General features: G+C 39.1%; 1 protein-coding gene across 38 annotated transcripts in view, besides 4 other annotated features; it reads left to right on the forward strand.

The window, feature by feature from the left end:
• Positions 1,326 to 2,127: an enhancer, noted in NCBI's record as "OCT4-NANOG-H3K27ac hESC enhancer chr4:123072777-123073578 (GRCh37/hg19 assembly coordinates)". NCBI's record gives its function as "activates a minimal SCP1, AML or CMV promoter by ChIP-STARR-seq in primed H9 embryonic stem cells {active_cell/tissue: H9 hESC(primed)}" and the evidence as "EXISTENCE:reporter gene assay evidence [ECO:0000049][PMID:30033119]".
• Positions 1,326 to 2,139: a biological region, named in NCBI's record as "OCT4-NANOG-H3K27ac hESC enhancer GRCh37_chr4:123072777-123073578".
• Positions 1,950 to 2,139: a silencer, noted in NCBI's record as "silent region_15663". NCBI's record gives its function as "represses an Ori minimal core promoter by ATAC-STARR-seq in GM12878 lymphoblastoid cells {active_cell/tissue: GM12878}" and the evidence as "EXISTENCE:reporter gene assay evidence [ECO:0000049][PMID:35858748]".
• BLTP1 (bridge-like lipid transfer protein family member 1) overlaps positions 2,035 to 19,616 on the forward strand; it is a 210,422-nt gene continuing 192,840 nt past the window's right edge. For 24 of the 38 annotated variants that reach the window (XR_938783.2, NM_001384125.1, XM_011532325.2 and 21 more), the window contains exons 1-2: positions 2,035 to 2,288; positions 3,729 to 3,816. The gene's annotated coding sequence lies outside the window, so the exon portion shown is untranslated. Of the gene's footprint in view, positions 2,289 to 3,728; positions 3,817 to 4,634; positions 4,843 to 9,391; positions 9,975 to 10,845; positions 10,955 to 19,616 lie in introns of all 38 variants that reach the window. The other 14 variants (XM_047416252.1, XM_047416268.1, XM_047416256.1 and 11 more) reach the window with 6 other exon arrangements.
• Positions 2,210 to 2,289: a silencer, noted in NCBI's record as "silent region_15664". NCBI's record gives its function as "represses an Ori minimal core promoter by ATAC-STARR-seq in GM12878 lymphoblastoid cells {active_cell/tissue: GM12878}" and the evidence as "EXISTENCE:reporter gene assay evidence [ECO:0000049][PMID:35858748]".

A 19,616-nucleotide genomic window follows, 5' to 3' on the forward strand; every position in this document is an offset into this window, starting at 1 on the left:
ACATCCTCAAAATGATAAAATTACAAAGATGGAAGACAGATTACTGGTTGCCAAGAGTTAGGGTTGTTATATGGGGAGGAGGGGTGGGTGCATCTATAAAGGGGTAGTAAAAGGGAGATCTTTGTGGTGATAAAAGAGGTCTGTATTGTTTGTAGTGATAGTCACATGGAATTACACACGATAAAATGACATAGAGCTACATACAGACATTGTACTAATGTCAGATTCCTGGTTTTCTTACTGTACTATAATTATACAAGATGTAACTATGGGGGAAACTGGGTGAAGAGTACATGAGACCACTCTGAACTATCTTTGCAACTTCCTGTGAATTTATAATTATTTCAAATAAAAAGTAAGATATAAAAAATCACTTGAAGGCTTTCATCATTAGAGAAATTCTTCTTGGATTCAATGGAGACAGTTTCTTTGGCATCCTTACTTTAACGGCATGCTAGAGAAAAATGAAAAATAGGTGGGAGACTGGAGAAGGCAGTAAGCCTTGCCATGCAAATTTAGTGAGCCATATGAAATGTCAAAGAGCATAATTATTTTCACAAGACTAAAGGCCTTTAGAATAGAGGCTTCTAAAATAAATAATTCATTTATACAATGTCGCCTAATGCATAGCTGTAGTTACAGGGTGACTCTTGATCACAGGGATGGAAAGGAAGTAGAGGCAGAAACTTCCAGATTCCCACAGTCCCCTCACACGGTTACAGAAAGGCCATAGTGAACTTCCTTCTCTCCTCTCCCCTCTGCTACAGTGCAACTTAGTTTCAGTTTAGTTTTTGATTTGGGGAACTTGAACCATCTCTAGGTAATTTCTAGTCCAGAGAACTTGTACTTGCACAATGTCCTTCTTGGGCAAAATCCGAAGTTTGGCTGTAGCAAATTTGAATCCTTGTGGTGGTTCCCTTATTACAAAACAAAGATTGACTAGAAATCTTCCAGATGTTGAAAAAGACAACTGAAATTAATTTCTTTGTAGAGGGGCAGAAATAAACTCTAAAGAGTTAATTGACATAAGGCCAGTACCAGTGTCCAGGTAGCAGAAGGAAGTAACTAAGACAGTGCATGCTTTTCTCCTTTTGGTTTTCATCCAGTCCTTCCATAAACCACTTCTGTCTGGGCCTCTATTTCCTTATATGCAATAACAGTTAATTGTTGTACCTCGTGTGTTTTCTGGCATTATCTTAAATTTGGTTTCATATCTGTTCCTTTTGAGGTGAGAGTGGAACAGCCATGTGGAAATATTAAGGTTGTAGTAAGTACCTCAGCTCCGGAAAGAAGTCAGAACTAGAGATTTAGACATTTGGAACTTCAGAGGCAGTATACAGTAATACTTTGGAGCCACATTTCTTGGGTCCAAACCCTGGTTCTCTAGCAAGTTATTTAACCTCTCAGTGTCTTAGTTTTTCAATTTGTGAAATGGAGATAAACGGGGATGAGAATAGCCTCACAGGATTTTGGAAGGATTAGTCAATAAGCCCTGCTAAACACTGTTTACTATTGCTAGTATATAGCGCAGACAAATAAATATCTGCGACATTCCTCTAATTCCAAGAAGTCGTTTGCCTTGGTTCACCCGCTAAATAATATTAAGAGCCTTTCTCTTTAAAAAGAGGAGCAGCAAATTACTTTTCATTAATATCATCAGCATAATAATAGACTTAGTTGAGAGATTCAGCGTGGCAGCACTTCACACAATCGAGCTCTCTTATTGATCATGTCATAACAGCATCTCTATTTCTTAAGGACTCATTTCACGTCATACACCCATCCGATGCTCCTTTTTCGTTAGCCTCCGTCTCCTAAGTGGGCTTATCTGTCTCCTGCTATCAGGAAGGCACTAACTTTTCCTTTGGGTTGTTAGGGTAGCAAAGTGATTTTCAAATTCAGGGTTCTGGCTCCTTCTGCAGCCCAGAGAGGAGGAAACAGGGCGGGACGCCGCCGGATTCCTGGGCAGGGCTTGAGTGGCGCACCTCGAGGCGCCGGCGACGCTGGCGTGTGACGTTGCTGCCTGACGCAGGCGCAGTGCCGCCCGGCCTCGGTTGGGACCCCTCCCCTCCTCCTCCGCCCCCTTGGGTGTCGGTGGCTGCGGCCAGGGTCTGGACCTGGGCGGCGGCCCCGGGCGGCGGGGCTAAAGGGTGTGGGCACCGGCAGAGCTTCGCAGGCTGCATCCGGCTCGGTGCTGCTGCCGTCGCCGCCCCTGCCGCCGCCCAAGGCCCTCGGCGTTCCCCGGAGAGAGGCCAGAGGGATTTCGGGCTGCCTCGGCACTCGCCCAGGTGAGGGGATGGGCCGGGCCAGACGGGGTTGAGGTCGTCAGCCCCTTTTTCCAGTGTCTCTGGAACTCAACCTGGTCGGAGTCTGAGAGCTTTGGCTTAGTAGTGGCTGCCTGCGGCGGCGACTCCTTCATATTCCTTTGCCATCCTTACCTACAGCCCTGGCACCTATAAACCGAGGGTTGGAGGTCAGTGGCAAAGTCTGGAAGGGCCATGGCAGTCGGATGGCTGGGGACTTTGATACAGGAGCAGTTCCTGCGGGTGATGGTAAGGCGCTCCACTTGCTGGTGTGTGGACTCGGCAGGAAGGACCGTGCACCCGCAGGCTCGGACTGCAGCCTTGCCAGCTGCACTGGGTTGTAGTAGACCCCATGCTGCTTAATATAGGGTCGGTTGACCGAGGGCGGGGAAGCCTTGGAACAACCCCCGCTTTCTTCTCTGGGATTGATGTGTTTTGTATTCTGAATTGGTGCTTGCTGCACTGCACTCTAGAAGACTACGTTTCAGCAGAATTTCCTATTGGTCAAAGGAAGGTGAAGAGAAGTTGATTTTTCTTCCGGAGAGTATTAGTTGTTGTCGTTTTTTTTTTTTTTTTTTTTACCTTCCTGTTGGCCTTAGTGTTGACGTTTGTTAAAGGTAAAAGTTCATGTGAATTTCCTTTTTAAGGAAATCATGGGCTTTATAACTGTCTAAGCGCCTGTAAGTTTCAACCGGTTTAGTGGTTTCTGCTTTCACCCTGTGCATAGCAATGAAGTTGTTTTATTCCAAGTTAAATATACAAAGTATAAAAATAGATGAATAACCAGAATACTTTGTAACTATTGAGTGGTACATATAATTATGTGCATATATTATCACATTTAATCATCAAAACAATCCTATAATGTAAAGTCTACTATTCCCATTTTCTAGATGAAAGAACAGAATAGACCTACAAAGTAACATGTTCAAAGTCAGAGCTGTGACTGAAACCAGGTAATCTGACTCGTTTGCAGTCCCTTAGTCAGTATGCCATACCAACTCCCAAGCACCCTGTGATTTTGCAAGATTTTCATTTGATAAAAAGTATGCCAGGAAGGACATTATGGCACTGTTCTTGCCGGCAAGGACCCAACAGTTTGAGAGAAACTTTCTCAATGTGCATTTTGAGTTATGTTTTAAACATAGGATTTGATCTCTAGGACCTTTGATTACCAAACTCATGCTCTTAAGTACAGTGGTTTTGGAGTCTTTGGAAGGCTTCAGTTTGGAAGTTGTAGTTTTATTTTATACTTAGGAGTATTTGTTGTTTGGAAACTTTAAACAAGGAAACGTAATATTGGACTAAAAGAGTTTCGTCCTGTTTGTGCATGATTAAGTAACGAAATCATATAATCAGAAATGGTTATGCTGCTCGTAAAGCCAGAATACCTTGTATAATTAGTTAAAATGCCATACTTTTCAGGTTTGTTAAGATGAAACACTGCAGAAAGGCTATCTGAAGAAAAGTAGAAGGAAAAACAGAACGTTGCAAACTCTGGAAAAAAACTTGGGTAAGTATTTTTGGCTAAGTTTTAAAAAGGTCAAATTTTCGGTTAAAGACTTTTTTTTTTTTTTTTTTTTTTTTTTTTTTTGAGACGGAGTCTCGCTCTGTTGCCCAGGCTGGAGTGCAGTGGTGCGATCTTGGCTCACTGCAAGCTCCACCTCCCGGGTTCACGCCATTCTCCTGCCTCAGCCTCCCAAGTAGCTGGGTCTTCTGACTTTCTGCTTCAGTTGTGGTTTAATCTGCCTATATTGCTAGGGAATGGGGGTGGGGTGGTGGTGATATGTAATGTAACCTGTTAGTCATTTTACTTGACTTTTGAGCTATTGATACCTGATTGACAAATTAAGTCATGTGCTTAGCCTGTGCATTGGCAGGAGAAAGCAGGGAAATCCTTTGCTTAACAGGTGTCAAAATTCTGTTCTCTCTTTTGCTTGCTCTTTAATCTACCTATGTTTGTAAAGTGTTTTAAGAAGAAATTGAGAAAATGGCCGGGCGCGGTGGCTCACGCCTGTAATCCCAGCACTTTGGGAGGCCGAGGCGGGCGGATCACAAGGTCAGGAGATCGAGACCATCCTGGCTAACATGGTGAAACCCCGTGTCTACTAAAAATACAAAAATTTAGCGGACGTGGTGGCGGGTGCCTGTAGTCCCAGCTACTCGGGAGGCTGAGGCAGGAGAATGGCATGAACCCAGGAGGCAGAGCTTGCAGTGAGCTGAGATCGCACCACTGCACTCCAGCCTGGGCGACAGAGCGAGACTCCATCTCAAAAAACAAAAATTGAGAAAATGAAGAAAAGTAGTTGACTTTTGGTTTGTTTTTCATAGAATATTGTGTATGGCTGAACTCAAGTATATTTTTTATGAATTCTACAGAGAATAATGGAAGACATGATCAAAGGTGATTAAGAAGCAGTGTAATTCATTTCATAACTAGCTATTGAGTATCATGTGTCAGACATCCAGGCTTCTGGTAATAGAGCAATGGTCTTCATGGCCCTGGAGAACACTACAGTAGTGCATTTTCTCTTAGAAGGTAACATTTTTTGTGAATTAATATGTTTTCTTTATTTGATAAGCAAGTATGTTTTTGGTTTATGTAAGAGACTAGAAAGTGAGCATTACTCATATAGTAAGAATTTATAATAAATTTTATATTATTTTAGTTGGTAAAGCAGGATTCTCTATGAATGCTGCATTAATGTACAGTGGGAAGCTAGGATTTTTTTTTTTTTTTTGGAGACACAATTTCACTCTGCCTCCCAGGCTGGAGTGCAGTGGCGCAATCTCTTCTCACTGCAACCTCTGCCTCCTGGGTTCAAGTAATTCTCATGCCTCAAGCTCCCGAGTAGCTGGGATTACAGGCATGTGCCACCACGCCTGGCCAATTTTTGTATTTTTGGTAGAGACAGAGTTTCACCATGTTGGCCAGGCTGGTCTCGAACTCCTAACCTCAAGTGATCCACCCGCCTCGGCTTCCCTAAGTGGTGGGATTACAGGTGTGAGCCACCGCGCCTGGTGAAATGAGGATTTTTGTAGACTTAATTTTAGCATACTGTATTTCATATTAAAGATAATATGGGAGCTTAGCAAAATTAATTTTTTAATTTGAGAAAATTTTGAGGAACTTGTATAGAAGATACATGGTCAGATAGGGAACTGTTTAGGTGATGAATTGGAGGGAGGTGAGCTTTGAAGACTGGTGATTAGTTAGAGGCTATTATAGTTATCCAGGTGGGAAATGAGAACTGCAGTGCATATTGGAATTAAGAAATGGAGATGGATTTAATAGATGTAAAGAGGGTAGATGGATAGGATTTAGTGGGCTTGAGGGAAAATGAAGTCAGGGTAGTTTCTAGCCACCATCATCTTTATGCATATGTTAATGTTTAATAAATACTTTTGAGATGCTTAGAATGAATTCTCTGGCTTGGGAAACTGAGTAGATTCTGGGGCCATTTACTGAGGTAGGAAGTGTAGGAAGAACAGTAGATTGGGGAACATGATTGGAGGAGATGAGTTCAGTTTGGTCCATTAAATCTGAGGCATCCGTGACTTCTAAGAAATGTCATTAGTGAGTTGTATATATGGATCTGAATTAAGCAGAATACCCAGCTTGAGATGTAAATTTTGGAGTCACAATTTAAAGATGATAGTTAAAAGCAACGGCAATGGATGAGATCACTCAGGAAAATGTAGAGTGAAAATAGAAGAGAAATGAGGTTGGAGAACAACAGCATTTAAGGGTGAGGTTAAAGAAAAATACACCTCAAAGGAGTGGGCAGGGAAGTAAGATTGGGTAAGAGAGTCACAAAAGTCAGTGGAAGAACCGAGTTTAGAGAAAAGGAATGAGTATTAGACATCTATAGACATCAAATAGGATGAGGACAACTAAAGTATCCATTGGACATATCACTTAAGAAATCGTTGATGACCTGAGCAAGAGCAGTTTTATAAGTGAAGCTAATTCACACTGGGCAAGAGACATGGATGTTGAAATAGCTAATGTCATTTACTATTTCAGAAAGTTTAGTTGTAAATGAATAGAGAAGGATATAGCTAAAGCTATGAGTTTGAGAGAAGGTTTTTGTTTTTTAAGGTATAAGGGATATAAGCACATGTTTATTTGCTGAAGATAAAGAGTCATCAGTAAGAAAATCTGAAGATAAAGGAATGAGGCAAAATAATTGGTGAAGCAAAGTCACTGAACAAACTGGAAAGGATATAATACAAGGGCTCAGGTCAAGGGTACTTTAGGTAGACTTCTACTGAGACAGGAAGGAAGGAGATGATGATGATGATATATTACAGATAAATTTGTAGGAGGCAGGATAAAGGGCTACTCTACAAAGTTTATGCAGGAGACTCTGACTTATGGTAGAAAGAGGAAATGGTTCACTCTTGTAATCAGTAGCCTTCTTGATGTGGCATTGCTGACTCCTGATCTTTTAGTAGGGAGGAGGAGGAGAGTGAGGTGGTTTAGCTTAAGATGACGTATATGAATCATCAAGTTAGAGATACCTTGAAGATCTCTTGCAAAATTACCCTTCTCATACTTTGTATTAGTATCTATGGCTAAATAACAAATTATCCCAGAACTTAGGGGTTTAAACCGATAAATGTTTTTTATTTCAATTTCTGTGGATCAAAAATTTGGGAATGACTAAACTGGGTGCTTCTGGCTCAGGGTCTTTGAGGAGGATGCAGCAAAGATGTAGGTTGGGACTTTAGTTATCTAGGGTAGTGGTCCTCAACCTTTTTGGCACTAGGGACCAGTTTTGTAGAACAATTTTTCCGTGCACCTGACAGGGGTGGGGTTGGTGGGGGGATGGTTTCAGGATGAAACTGTTCCACCTCAGATCATCAGGCATTAGATTCTCTTAAGGAGTGCACAACCTAAATCCCTCGCAGGTGCAGTTCATAATTGGGTTTGTGCTCCTATGAGAATAATGCCACCTGCTGATCTGACAGGAGGCAGAGCTCAGGTGGTAATCCTCACTCACCTCCTGCTGTGTGGCCTAGTTCCTAACAGGCCACAGACCAGTACCAGTCTGCGGCCTGGGGGTTGGGGACCCCTGATCTAGGGGCTCAACTGGGGCTGGAAGGGTTTAATTCCATGATGGCTCACTAGTTTAGCTGCTGGATGGAGACCAACAGCTTTTTTTGTCATAGTCACGTAAAAATTCAATTTCAGTTATAGTAATATTCTTGGTTCACAGGAATTGGCTATTATGTGGATCCATTTGGCTCTCTGCCTAGCAACACTCCAATTAAAAAAATATTTTCTTTGAACTTGATATGATGAGAGTGTTGGTAAACACATGTGACCATTTTCCCCTCCCTGTCTCCCAAGTCCCTGTTTTTTTGGGTGGGTAGTTTGCTGTGTATCAGGTGAGGGTTCCTGATCCAAGTGGCTTAAGACTGGAAGATATGAGAAAAGCCTAAATGCTACATAGGAAAAAAGAAATAGTTTTACTTCAAAAAAACCTTTAGAATTTTACTTTGTTGATGCTAGCATTTTAGTGTTATTTAGTGTTTTAGAGTATTTTAAATAAAAATGGAAGTGAGAAATTGAATTGTTGATTAAAAGAAACTTACAGAATGTGTTTGTTAGCCAATATGAAAAAAGCATAAATGAAGCCCTATAACTAATTAATTTATGGTATGAGGACTAACCCTTTCATTCGTGGTAGTTTCTATTTATCTCTTTGTATTGCTCACCATTTTAAGGAGTATGCTGAAGGTAGTAATTACCACTAAAGTATTACCATTAAAAGTAGATAACATTTAAAAGTCATGATTTCTTCTAGATTTAGAGAGATTGTAGTTAGCTCTCTCTGTCCTCTTAGTTGATATGTTTTCTACAGCTTTTTAAGTTTTTGAGGCTGGGCACAGTGGCTCACTCCTGTAATCCTAGCACTTTGGGAGGCTGAGGTGGGTGGATTACAAGGTCAGGAGATTGAGACCATCCTGGCTAACACGGTGAAACCCCACCTCTACTAAAAATATAAAAACAAAATTAGCCGGGCGTGGTGGCGGGCACCTGTAGTCTCAGCTACTCGGAAGGCTGAGGCAGGAGAATGGCGTGAACCCAGGAGGAGGGGCTTGCAGTGAGCTGAGATTGCGCCACTGCACTCCAGCCTGGGCAACACAGCGAGACTCCGTCTCAAAAAAAAAATAGTTTTTGAAAAAATTATTTTGATAAGTATTTAGGTGAACCAGCATAAATTTCTGGCTATGGAGGTGAGGTTTGGTAAAATACAGCATTTTTGGTTGGGTGATATGACTTCTTAGATATTCAGAGTTCTTCGATATATAAGCATGAAGAACCATTTTTGTAGCATAGATTATGATATTAAAAATTATGTTTGTTTCATTTGCTGATTTATAGTGTTTGGATCATCAGTCGCCATACCTGAATATTTCTTTTGCCTAGTATTTGATTTTCTTCTAAGAATCATGCTCACTAGTACTTGTGGAACTATGTTATTCATGTTGGTACTTTCTTGATTGTTATTTGTGGCAACTAATTTCTTTTGGTTATAAGTACAATTCTGTTATTAAATATGGTTTTTGGCTGGGCGCGGTGGGTGGCTCATGCCTGTAATCCCAGCACTTTGGGAGGCCGAGGCAGGTGGATCATGAGGTCAGGAGATCGAGACCATCCTGGCTAACATGGTGAAACCCCGTCTCTATTAAAAATACAAAAAATTAGCCGGGCGTGGTGGCAGGCGCCTGTGGTCCCAGCTACTCGGGAGGCTGAGGCAGGAGAATCGCTTGGACCCGGGAGGCGGAGGTTGCAGTGAGCCAGATCGTGCCACTGCACTCCAGCCTGGGCAACAGAGTGAGACTCTGTCCCAAAAAAAAAAAAAAGTTTTTATTTTACTTATTGTAAGGAATGAAATACATTTTAATCGTTGTTTACTGCCATGGACTTTATTGTTTTTTAGCTTTCACTTTGTTGTTGAATTGATTTTTTCTTTAAGAATATTAATAAAAGTAGCTTAGCTACTACTGTTATAATGTTTTTTGTCAAGTGCTGTGCTGTGAGTTTTATGTTTGCTTTATGTTTTTAATGCCTTCAGCATCTCTTCAAGGAAGAGATGGCCATCCTACTATTTGGAAACAGGCGCAAAGAGATTCAGAGGCTTGCTCACAGCTAACAGAAGTATAAAAGGGATGAAGCCAGCTTTCCATTTCAAATCTGGTTTTAAAGCCTACTCTATTTCTAAGATACCAGACAATTTCTATTATTTCTGATTGAATGTTATTTTACCACATAATTCTGTTGGGCTTTAGAACTAGTTAACAGGTGAAATTGTGTTTGTTGTGTATAGAATCCTGGGACTGAAAAGGACCTGGAGTGACCCTTCCTAGGTAGCAAGGATTATACCTAATCTATTTTACCTAAGAGGATAATTGTTTATTTTGTCTGCTTGAATAAACAGAATAGGACATTATATAATTTTGATTTATGTGCACAAAGATGCTGGCCCTGTCCAGAATTGTTAAGGAGCCTAAGTTTGTATTTGTCGCCCATCTCTTTTGAAGATTTTCCACATCTTCGGGAATCTTAGGCTTTTTGTAATATTCATAGGTCCTGCTTGTGAATGAGAAAAGCACTCTAATGAATCAATTTACACTAATACCACATGGTAATCATGAATGGTAGGTATTATTGAAATCCCATTAAGATATCTTTCCATTCTTAAGAATATTGGTTAGCGTTCTATTTAAATAAATGGGTGGTGTAATTTTAGGCCTTGTTGTGTCATGATGGGAGCAATTTTTAAGCAGAGAGGGTCCTACAAATCACTGTACATGTAATGAGTAATGTCAACCTTTTTATACATTCCAGTACTATCTTAAATGTATAAAGTTTACATAGTTATTTTAAGTGAGGTATTCAATTGCAGTAGACACATATTTTGTATACTTTATCTGTATAGCATCATAGAATTGGAAGGAACTTCACAAAGTCATTTGTTCCAGGCCATCTGCCTGAGGCTTGGTTAGTGCTTAGACCATTTTTGTCACTTTACAAACAGTTTACATGAATTAAACACTCCTTGAAACTTTATTTTGAATAAAAATGTTGTATGATCTGATTTGTATTTTACTTTTGTTTTGGGATCTCCTTAGGCCATGGCAAAGATAAACAATCTGTTCAGGCAGATCTTTTGTTTTGGTATTTACTGAGATATTTGGATCAATTACTTGGTGTTTTAATTGTTAAGGAGGAGATAAATGTCTTTAGAATTGGTAACCCTACACAAATTATCTGAAGATAATTTGTTACATATGCGCAGAGACCAGTTAAAGGTTTTCAAGTTAAGCGTTTGGTCTGCAACATTTAATATTGATCACTAAATGTAGAAAGCAATGTAGAAATGTGATTGTGCAGAGTACATAATTCACAGAATTTCTAGTATACAGTAATGGTGCTATGTGCTAACAGGTACTTAACCTTACTTGGTGATGAAGAGAGTGTATGTTGGTGGAGTTCAAAGGAGAGCTCTAAAGTTGGTTTATTTTCCAGCCCTTAAAGAACTGTGATGAAATCCAGAAGACTTTAATATAATGGTGTGAAGATTTGTGGATGGCTTAGGTCCAAAGATTGTGATTTCATTGTTGCATGAGGGATTTGGGTACGATTAAATTTTTTTTTTCATTTTTGTTCTATTTGGAATTGGGTTGTTAAAATATTGAATGTTCTGTTTCTTTACTTTTTTTTGGCAGGCCGGTTGTAGGGGGTGGGTGAGAAATACTGTAATGAGATCTCTTCTTAGCTCTAGAAAATGAGAGCCATTTTTTTCTTTTTTCTTTTGTTTTCTTTTTTTTTTTTTGAGACAGGGTCTTGCTCTGTCACCCAGGCTGGTATGCAGTGGTGCAGTCACAGCTCACTGTAGCCTTGACTTCCCAGGCTTAAGTGTCCTTCCCATTTCAGTCTCTCCAGTAGATGGAACTACAGGTGCTTGCCACCACACCCAGCTAATTTTTGTATTTTTTTGTAGAGACGGCGTTTCCTCATGTTACCCAGGCTGGTCTCCTGGGCTCAAGTGATCGCCCACTTCAGCCTCCCAAAGTGCTGGGATTACAGGCGTGAGCCACAACACTCAACCAGAGAATCAAATTTTCTTAAGGGTAAAAAAGATCATTTAGGAGTGTCTTTGGCCCTGAATACATTAGAAATACTTGCCTATCTTTGACAATAGCTCATAATGATGTATTTTTTATAATGATGCATTTATTTCATTCATTTATGAAGCAAATATTTATTGAGAGACTGCTCAATGCCAGGAACTTTGTTGGATATTGGATACCCAAATGAGTACAGCAAGCACATCCTTAAGGAGCAGTCATTAGTGGGGGAGATACATTTCTAAACCGATAATTACAATACAGTGTGATAAGTACTAAGAGACAGGTTGTCATTCAAGCAGCATTTATTTAGCATTTTCTATATTGTTAGACATTCTAGTAAAGATTATGAATATTCTAACTCTTAAACTTAATACTCAGAATTTCTGAGCTGTATGGTAGAATTTTTAAGCCCAATAAATATTTATTGAATGGATAAGCAAAAACACATAGAAAAGGTTATATTGTACTTTCTATGTTGCTCCAAATAATCAAAATCAAATATACTTTCCCATGACAGTGCCAGGGTAAGCTGTGGCTCTTCACAGTTAGGTCTTCTCAAGTGATAAGTAATGTTATATGGATATATTCCAGCTTAAGCCTGATAAAGGAAAACCTTATTTCACACAGTTCTGTTCAACTTATGGGATATTTGTTTCAGAGGAGCCATGAAGCCCTGGAAGGGGATTAACCAGTGCACTGAGCTTTCTTGAGGACCTGTGGGCAGGTTCACAGATGGGAATTGGGAAAATTGTAATCAACCAGTTCTTTCCAACTCTTCTTCTTTGAGTTAATCAAATCTTGCTGAGATGGGGTGGAGTTGGGGGATTTGGGTCAAGCTGTGGTGACGAAAGTCCTCTCATCCATAATTCCTTTCAGCTATCACCCTAGGGTCATCCTTCTGCTAGCTGTTATTAACACAAATTAAATGTTAAGAAAAATAGAAGAGGAAAAGGGACAGTAGAAGGTAATGGGGTTATAACAACAACAACAAAAAAAAAACTGGGAGTAATAAGAAGAAAAAGGATGAAGTAAAAATGTTTTAAAATAAATATGAACTTGACTCATACTTTAAAAATATATGGAAGCAATCAGAGTCTGTCATTCTTTTCTCTACAGAATCTCCTTGCATTTGGGTTCATTCTTTCTCTGTTGTTCCTGTTCTGATAAAAGAAATGTTCCTCTTTCTATCAAAAGCTAGTTCCTGCACATATGTATGCTCTGGATTGAGATTTTAAAAGTCTTATGTATTAAATATTGTGCGCCTTCAGTCATATGGTTTCATGGTCTCTTCTAAAGCACACAGTCATGTTTCTTGTAAAGAAAATTGTCCTTAGATTTGATAGGCCTAGTTATAAATAATAAAAACACAGTGCTTTGTTTTGGGTTTCCCCAGAAACAAACCTGGGATAAAGATTCAAGGGTATATAGTTTATTGGGAAATGATCATAGGAAACACTGGTAGAAGTGGGGAAGGAAGAAAAGAAAGGGATAGAAGTGAATAAAGGGCATTATTCTGGCTGTTACCACTGTGGGCACCTGGAGTTCACTCATATTGGGAACTCTGAAGACATCAAATAAACTACCATCGGAGTTATCCCAAACCAAGAGCAAGGACAATTTGAGTGTTAAATCCACCAACTTCCTAGCCATAATTGACATTAACTCTCTGGCGTTTCTCGCTTGTCCCTGGAGTGCAAGCTGAGTGTGTCCTTGCAGTCAGAAAGCAGCACTCAGCAGGGTATCACAGGTGTTCATAATGAGCAGGTTTCCTGTGTAGAGGTGAGTGCCAACAGTATATGGGCAAGACACCAATAGCATTGGCTGCCAATAGCAAACATTTATACAATTCAGTATCTATGATGTGCCAGAAGTTCTAAATGCTTTACATCAACTTATCAATTTACACACTATAACTCTATGAGATAGGTACTATTAGTGTCCTCACTTTACACATGAGGAAACAGAGTACAGAGAGGTTAGGTATTTTGCCCACAATCACACAGCTATAATTTCAGAACTGACATTTGAACCCAGGTGAAGCATAGTATAGAGTCTATGCTTTTAATCCATATAGTGATCTGCTTCTGGAACAATATAGTCTGAAGCAGCATCTTTTGATTCTACTGTTGTTCCATAATAACTGCCTTCTCTTTCTCCTTTCCCCTAATCTCTTTTGTTTTAGTGTTCTGTGTCTACTTCCTTATTTGTAGTTGTCTCCGCCCCTCCCTGCAATTCTAGAACATTGTAGGCATTCCTCTTTCCATTTTACACTCAAGGCTATCATATCAAATAATTCTTGCTAAGGTATTAACTGATATTTCTGAGTTTATGTGAAGGCCTCTGAGTTTGGTATTGCTTGGTGAGTATCTGCATGTTAATTACAAAATACAAATATTTAAGAACCATAGAAAGAAAGATGTGATTATAGAGTTACAGATGACTAGGTTAGAATTTTGGGATTGGGAGACACCTATACCTTGGCCATGGTTATAAGGAGAGGCCAAGAAATGTGTGCTTAGGCAAAAAAAGCCGTTTTCCCAACTACAGCATCCTGTCCTCCAGCCATCACTTTGTCTTTTTCTTTTTAAATTATGGAAATATTACACGCCAGTTGTAAAACAAACAGTATGTGAGTGCCCAGAATAAAAGTGAAAGTCTGGTTTTGTTGCTGCTTCTCCTTCCCCCAGAATCTCCTTCCACTGATTAGATTAGATTCAAGCTATATGCATCTTTGGCAGGAATATCACAGAAGTGAGACTGTGTTCTATTAAGAGGCTCACAGTTTTGACTTATCCTATTGCTGCTGGTATTTACATTGATCACTTAACTTGCCTTTCTCAAAGTTCCTCTTTTTCCCTTTGTCATTAATAATTATTTTTTGGGGTGTGGGGAAAGAGTTATTTTGATGTGACTATATAGAATTTTGTTAGCCATCAAAATTTGATTATATTGGTATGGACTCAGATACCTGTTTTATTAAATGGGTGGTAATCCATTACTATCATTTATTTTATTTTTTTTTTTGCATTAAAATATAAAGTAATCAAATGTTAATACAAAACTTTTCCTAGAAATGTAAAGCTTCTTCTTGTGTTTGAGTTGCTAATGAAATACACCCATGTCTCTGCATTTTACATTATCACATTCATGGTGATATGTAAGAATATAATTATTTAGACCATATTCCAAAATGCCAATATAGAAGAAGGTATTTATAGCATGAATTTGAATATTGTCTTCATTTAAATACAAACGTATGCACTGTAAGTAGGTGCAAGCCTCAGACTACTTCATAGTTTCTTCTAGTGTAGTTGCACCTATGTTGTCACATTTTTTTTTTAATTATACTTTTTTAGGGTACATGTGCATAACGTGCAGGTTAGTTACATACGTGTACATGTGCCATGCTGGTGTGCTGCACCCATTAACTCATCATTTAACATTAGGTATATCTCCTAATGCTGTCCCTCCCCTCTCCCCCGCACCCTATGATAGGCCCCGGTGTGTGATGTTCCCCTTCCTGTGTCCATGTGTTCTCACTGTTCAATTCCCACCTATGAGTGAGAACATGTGGTGTTTGGTTTTTTGTCCTTGCGATAGTTTGCTGAGAATGATGGTTTCCAGCTTCATCCATGTCCCTACAAAGGACATGAACTCATCCTTTTTTATGGCTGCATAGTATTCCATGGTGTATATGTGCCACATTTTCTTAATCCAGTCTAACATTGTTGGACATTTGGGTTGGTTCCAAGTCTTTGCTATTGTGAATAGTGCCGCAATAAACATAGGTGTGCATGCGTCTTTATAGCAGCTTGTTTTATAATCCTTTGGGTATATACCCAGTAATAGGATGGCTGGGTCAAATGGTATTTCTAGTTCTAGATGCCTGAGGAATCGCCACACTGACTTCCACAGTGGTTGAACTAGTTTACAGTCTCACCAACAGTGTAAAAGTGTTCCTATTTCTCCACATGCTCTCCAGCACCTGTTGTTTCTTGACTTTTTAATGATTGCCATTCTAACTGGTGTGAGATGGTATCTCATTGTGGTTTTGATTTGCATTTCTCTGATGGCCAGTGATGATGAGCATTTTTTCATGTGTCTGTTGGCTGCATAAATGTCTTCTTTTGAGAAGTGTCTGTTCATATCCTTCGCCCACTTTTTGATGGGGTTGTTTGTTTTTTTCTTGTAAATTTGTTTGAGTTCATTGTAGATTCTGGATATTAGCCCTTTGTCAGATGAGTAGATTGCAAAAATTTTCTCCCATTCTGTAAGTTGCCTGTTCACTCTAATGGTAGTTTCTTTTGCTGTGCAGAAGCTCTTTAGTTTAATTAGATCCCATTTGTCAATTTTGGCTTTTGTTGCCATTGCTTTTGGTATTTTAGACATGAAATCCTTGCCCATGCCTATGTCCTGAATGGTATTGCCTAGGTTTTCTTCTAGGGTTTTTATGGTTTTAGGTCTAACGTTTAAGTCTTTAATCCATCTTGAATTAATTTTTGTATAAGGTGTAAGGAAGGGATCCAGTTTCAGCTTTCTACATATGGCTAGCCAGTTTTCCCAGCACCATTTATTAAATAGGGAATCCTTTCCCCATTTCTTGATTTTGTCAGGTTTGTCAAAGTTCAAATAGTTGTAGATATGCGGCACTATTTCTGAGGGCTCTGTTCCGTTCCATTGGTCTATATCTCTGTTTTGGTACCAGTACCATGCTGTTTTGGTTACTGTAGCCTTGTAGTATAGTTTGAAGTCAGGTACCGTGATGCCTCCAGCTTTGTTCTTTTGGGTTAGGATTGGCTTGGCAATGCAGGCTCTTTTTTGGTTCCATATGAACTTTAAAGTAGTTTTTTCCAATTCTGTGAGGAAAGTCATTGGTAGCTTGATAGGGATGGCATTGAATCTGTAAATTACCTTGGGCAGTATGGCCATTTTCACGATACTGATTCTTCCTACCCATGAGCATGGAATGTTCTTCCATTTGTTTGTATCCTCTTTTATTTCCTTGAGCAGTGGTTTGTAGTTCTCCTTGAAGAGGTCCTTCACATCCCTTGTAAGTTGGATTCCTAAGTATTTTATTCTCTTTGAAGCAATTGTGAATGGGAGTTCACTCATGATTTGGCTCTCTATCATTCATTTTTATGTTTAGTCTGTCCCAGGTTTTTCCAGCGGGAGCCTCTTTAAGCTGGCTTCTGTGTCCTTTTGACATGTTCATATCATTCTTTGGGTACTTCTTTCCTTTCTGGAAAACAAGGCTTATCTTTACTTTCTGTCCCTTAGTTGTGGAATCAGCCACTTTTGCAAGGGGCCCTCTTTCCTCTTAGTAGAAAATAGCTTTTAGAAGGAAAGTTTTCTGCTCCTTTTTATTGAGGTGTTGTTGCTCTCAGGACCTGTTAGTGAACATATGCCTGCACATATACGGTACATAAATACATTTACAGCTATATTTATGTCTATATCCATTTATATTGAAAACCATAGCTCCAGTTCTTATCTACCATTTTAGGTTTCATTCTAATTTTCTTCCTTTATATATCTCAAACAGTGAGACATTGTAATAATGGCTCCCATTATCCTTAATATGTTTATTCATCTCCCAGGTGTGTCCTCCTTATCCTATTTCTGCCGCAACATACTTTTCAGCTTGTTCTCCTGCATGGAAACCCTACTTAGCTCTTTTGGGTCTGGGACCTTTCTCTTGGGCTCTGACACCCTATGCCAGGCAGCCTTCTTGAGTAGATGCTCTTTTCTCTCTGCTCAGGCTCTCATTCCTCTCAGTCTCTGAAACCTTAATCTGGTTGCTTCTCCTGTGCCGCCTCCTGCCCCTACTGGCCATGGATGTTCTTCTCCTTCCACTCAGGCTCCAGCATCCTGTGCCTAACTTCTCCCCTACAAGTGTATGCTCCTCATCTCACTCTGGTTTTGACACCCTTAGGTGCTGCCACTACTCCACAAGCTTGTCCGTCATGCCATTGGATACTTAATTTATTCATATCAGGCTCTGACATCCAGCTCTAGGCCGCTGAGACTTCTGTTTCTCTCTTCCCCATGTGCAGACGCATGCTTTACTCTGCTTCACCTTGCAACTCTTAGATTGAACTGTTCAGGAAGGGTAGAGGAAGAGGAAACAACCAGTTTGTATTTTGTTCCACCGTTTGCTCCATGAAGATTTTGCAATAGATTACCATAAGTCTCCAGTCTCTCACTATTAAGGAATTGGTGATATACTACTTCATGTGGCTGAGCATACAACATTTTTGTTTGGATTCTGTGTCTAGTGTTGCCTTACTTTCTTTATACCAGAATATCTACTTCTTACTTTAGGGGCTTTTTAAATCTTAGCCTTTATTTCTGTACTTGCTTAAAATATGTTCTTTTAAATATTGAGCCTTTATCTGTTGATTTCTCTTAAAGGCTTTGCATTAATCTAATATTTGGGAAATATTGATTGAAACTTGTTTGATACTGTAGGGTTTCTGTCTTTACAGCCTAAACAACCTCTTCCCACATTCTTTTTCACTATGGTTTGTTACTGTGGTAGGTCATGATTATTTTAGATGAGGTATTTTTGGTGGATAGGTCCTTTCCCCTTGAATTTGATTAGAAACAGATTTCCTTTTTATGTGGAGACTTGAATGCTGGGACACATCTCTCATGAAACTTCCAGAGTCTTTTCCTCCTTAGTGATGTGCTGGCTAGCAATCTGTAGAATGGTAAAAATAAGTATGAAATTGATACATATGTTATTTTATGATATGTAAACCATTATGTAATATGTGAATATTTGGTTTTAGATTTTTTAAGATAGTTTTTTTCAAAGTATTTGCTTCCTTTTTAAAGTTAAAAAAAAAACTTAAGAGGGAAGAAAGAGAAAGCTCATGTTATAAAGTTAGCCGTCAAATTTTAAGGTGCTGACAGGGATTTTTCAAAGCTTTGAAAAATACGAGAACATTTTTTACTCAGTTTCTACACTGTAGGAAAAAAAAGGATTATTGTAAACTGAAAACATTTTCTTAATCTTCTCTAGCTCCTGCGTTTAGGTTTTCATATCACTGTTAATAATAAACCTTCTGTTATTGAGCTCTGTATTATTTTCTTAAGAGATGTTTAATTTGCCTCTGTAAATTATAAGATTTCAACAGTGTAGAAATATGAAACATAATGTGTTGTAGATTGTGTCTGGCAATGTTATCTCATTCAATTTTTATTTATTTATTTATTTTAGAAGGGGTCTCCCTCTCTCAACTGGGCTGGAGTGCAGTAGCATGATCATAGCTCACCGTAACCTTGAACTCCTAGGCTCAAGCAATCCTCCTGCCCCCATGCCCTGAGTAGCTAGGACTACAGGTGCACACCACCATGCCTGGCTAGTTTTTTATTTTTATTTTTTTGGCAGAGATGGGGTCTCACTGTGTTGCCCAGGCTGGATTCCAACTTCTGGCCTCAAGAGTTCTTCCTACCTTTGCCTCCCAAAGCACTGGGATTATAGGTTCTTGGCCTCATCCAATTTTTAAACTTGTTTTGTGATGTCCAAAGATAAGAGTTGTGGTGAATAAACAGAAAACAGGTTTAGAAAGTTAAGTCAGATGTACCAAATTTCAATTAGAAAGTTATCTTTCCTTATTCTTTACTGCAGAAAAAATTTGCTGTTTTTGTAGTTATCTGTAAAAATCTCCTCTGCTGTTTAGTCTTAAAGTAGTATTAACTGTGTAGGTCTCTTTGTGATTAAGTCTAGCTTTTTTTTTGCTCTTTCTGGTTTATTATGAGATAGTTTTGTTATCGGTAGGTTGGGTTAGTCATATGTTACTATGGTATTATGAAGGAATATTTTCTTGTTTCTTGGATCATAAAATATGAACTTTGTTCCTTTTTTCTTATTGTTGGTACATCTCAATATTCATATTCATCCTACTGTGTGTGCATATATACATATACACACATATCTATATACATACATATGTATATGCACACATATGTGTATGCATACAAATATTTGTCAGAAGTTGGGTCACAGTTCTACAGTGAATTTTTCTTTATCCTAAGTATCTGATAGCAGGAGGTCTCTTTACTGTTCAGACTACCTAGAGTGAATCTGAACTAGGAAGATTGTTTCCCCATGGAATAATGGAGAATACATAGAGGTGATGGAGGGTAAGAGGGATTTATCTA

The sequence above is a fragment of the Homo sapiens genome, chromosome 4 (genome assembly GCF_000001405.40).
Source record: "Homo sapiens chromosome 4, GRCh38.p14 Primary Assembly".
Lineage (NCBI taxonomy): Eukaryota > Metazoa > Chordata > Mammalia > Primates > Hominidae > Homo > Homo sapiens.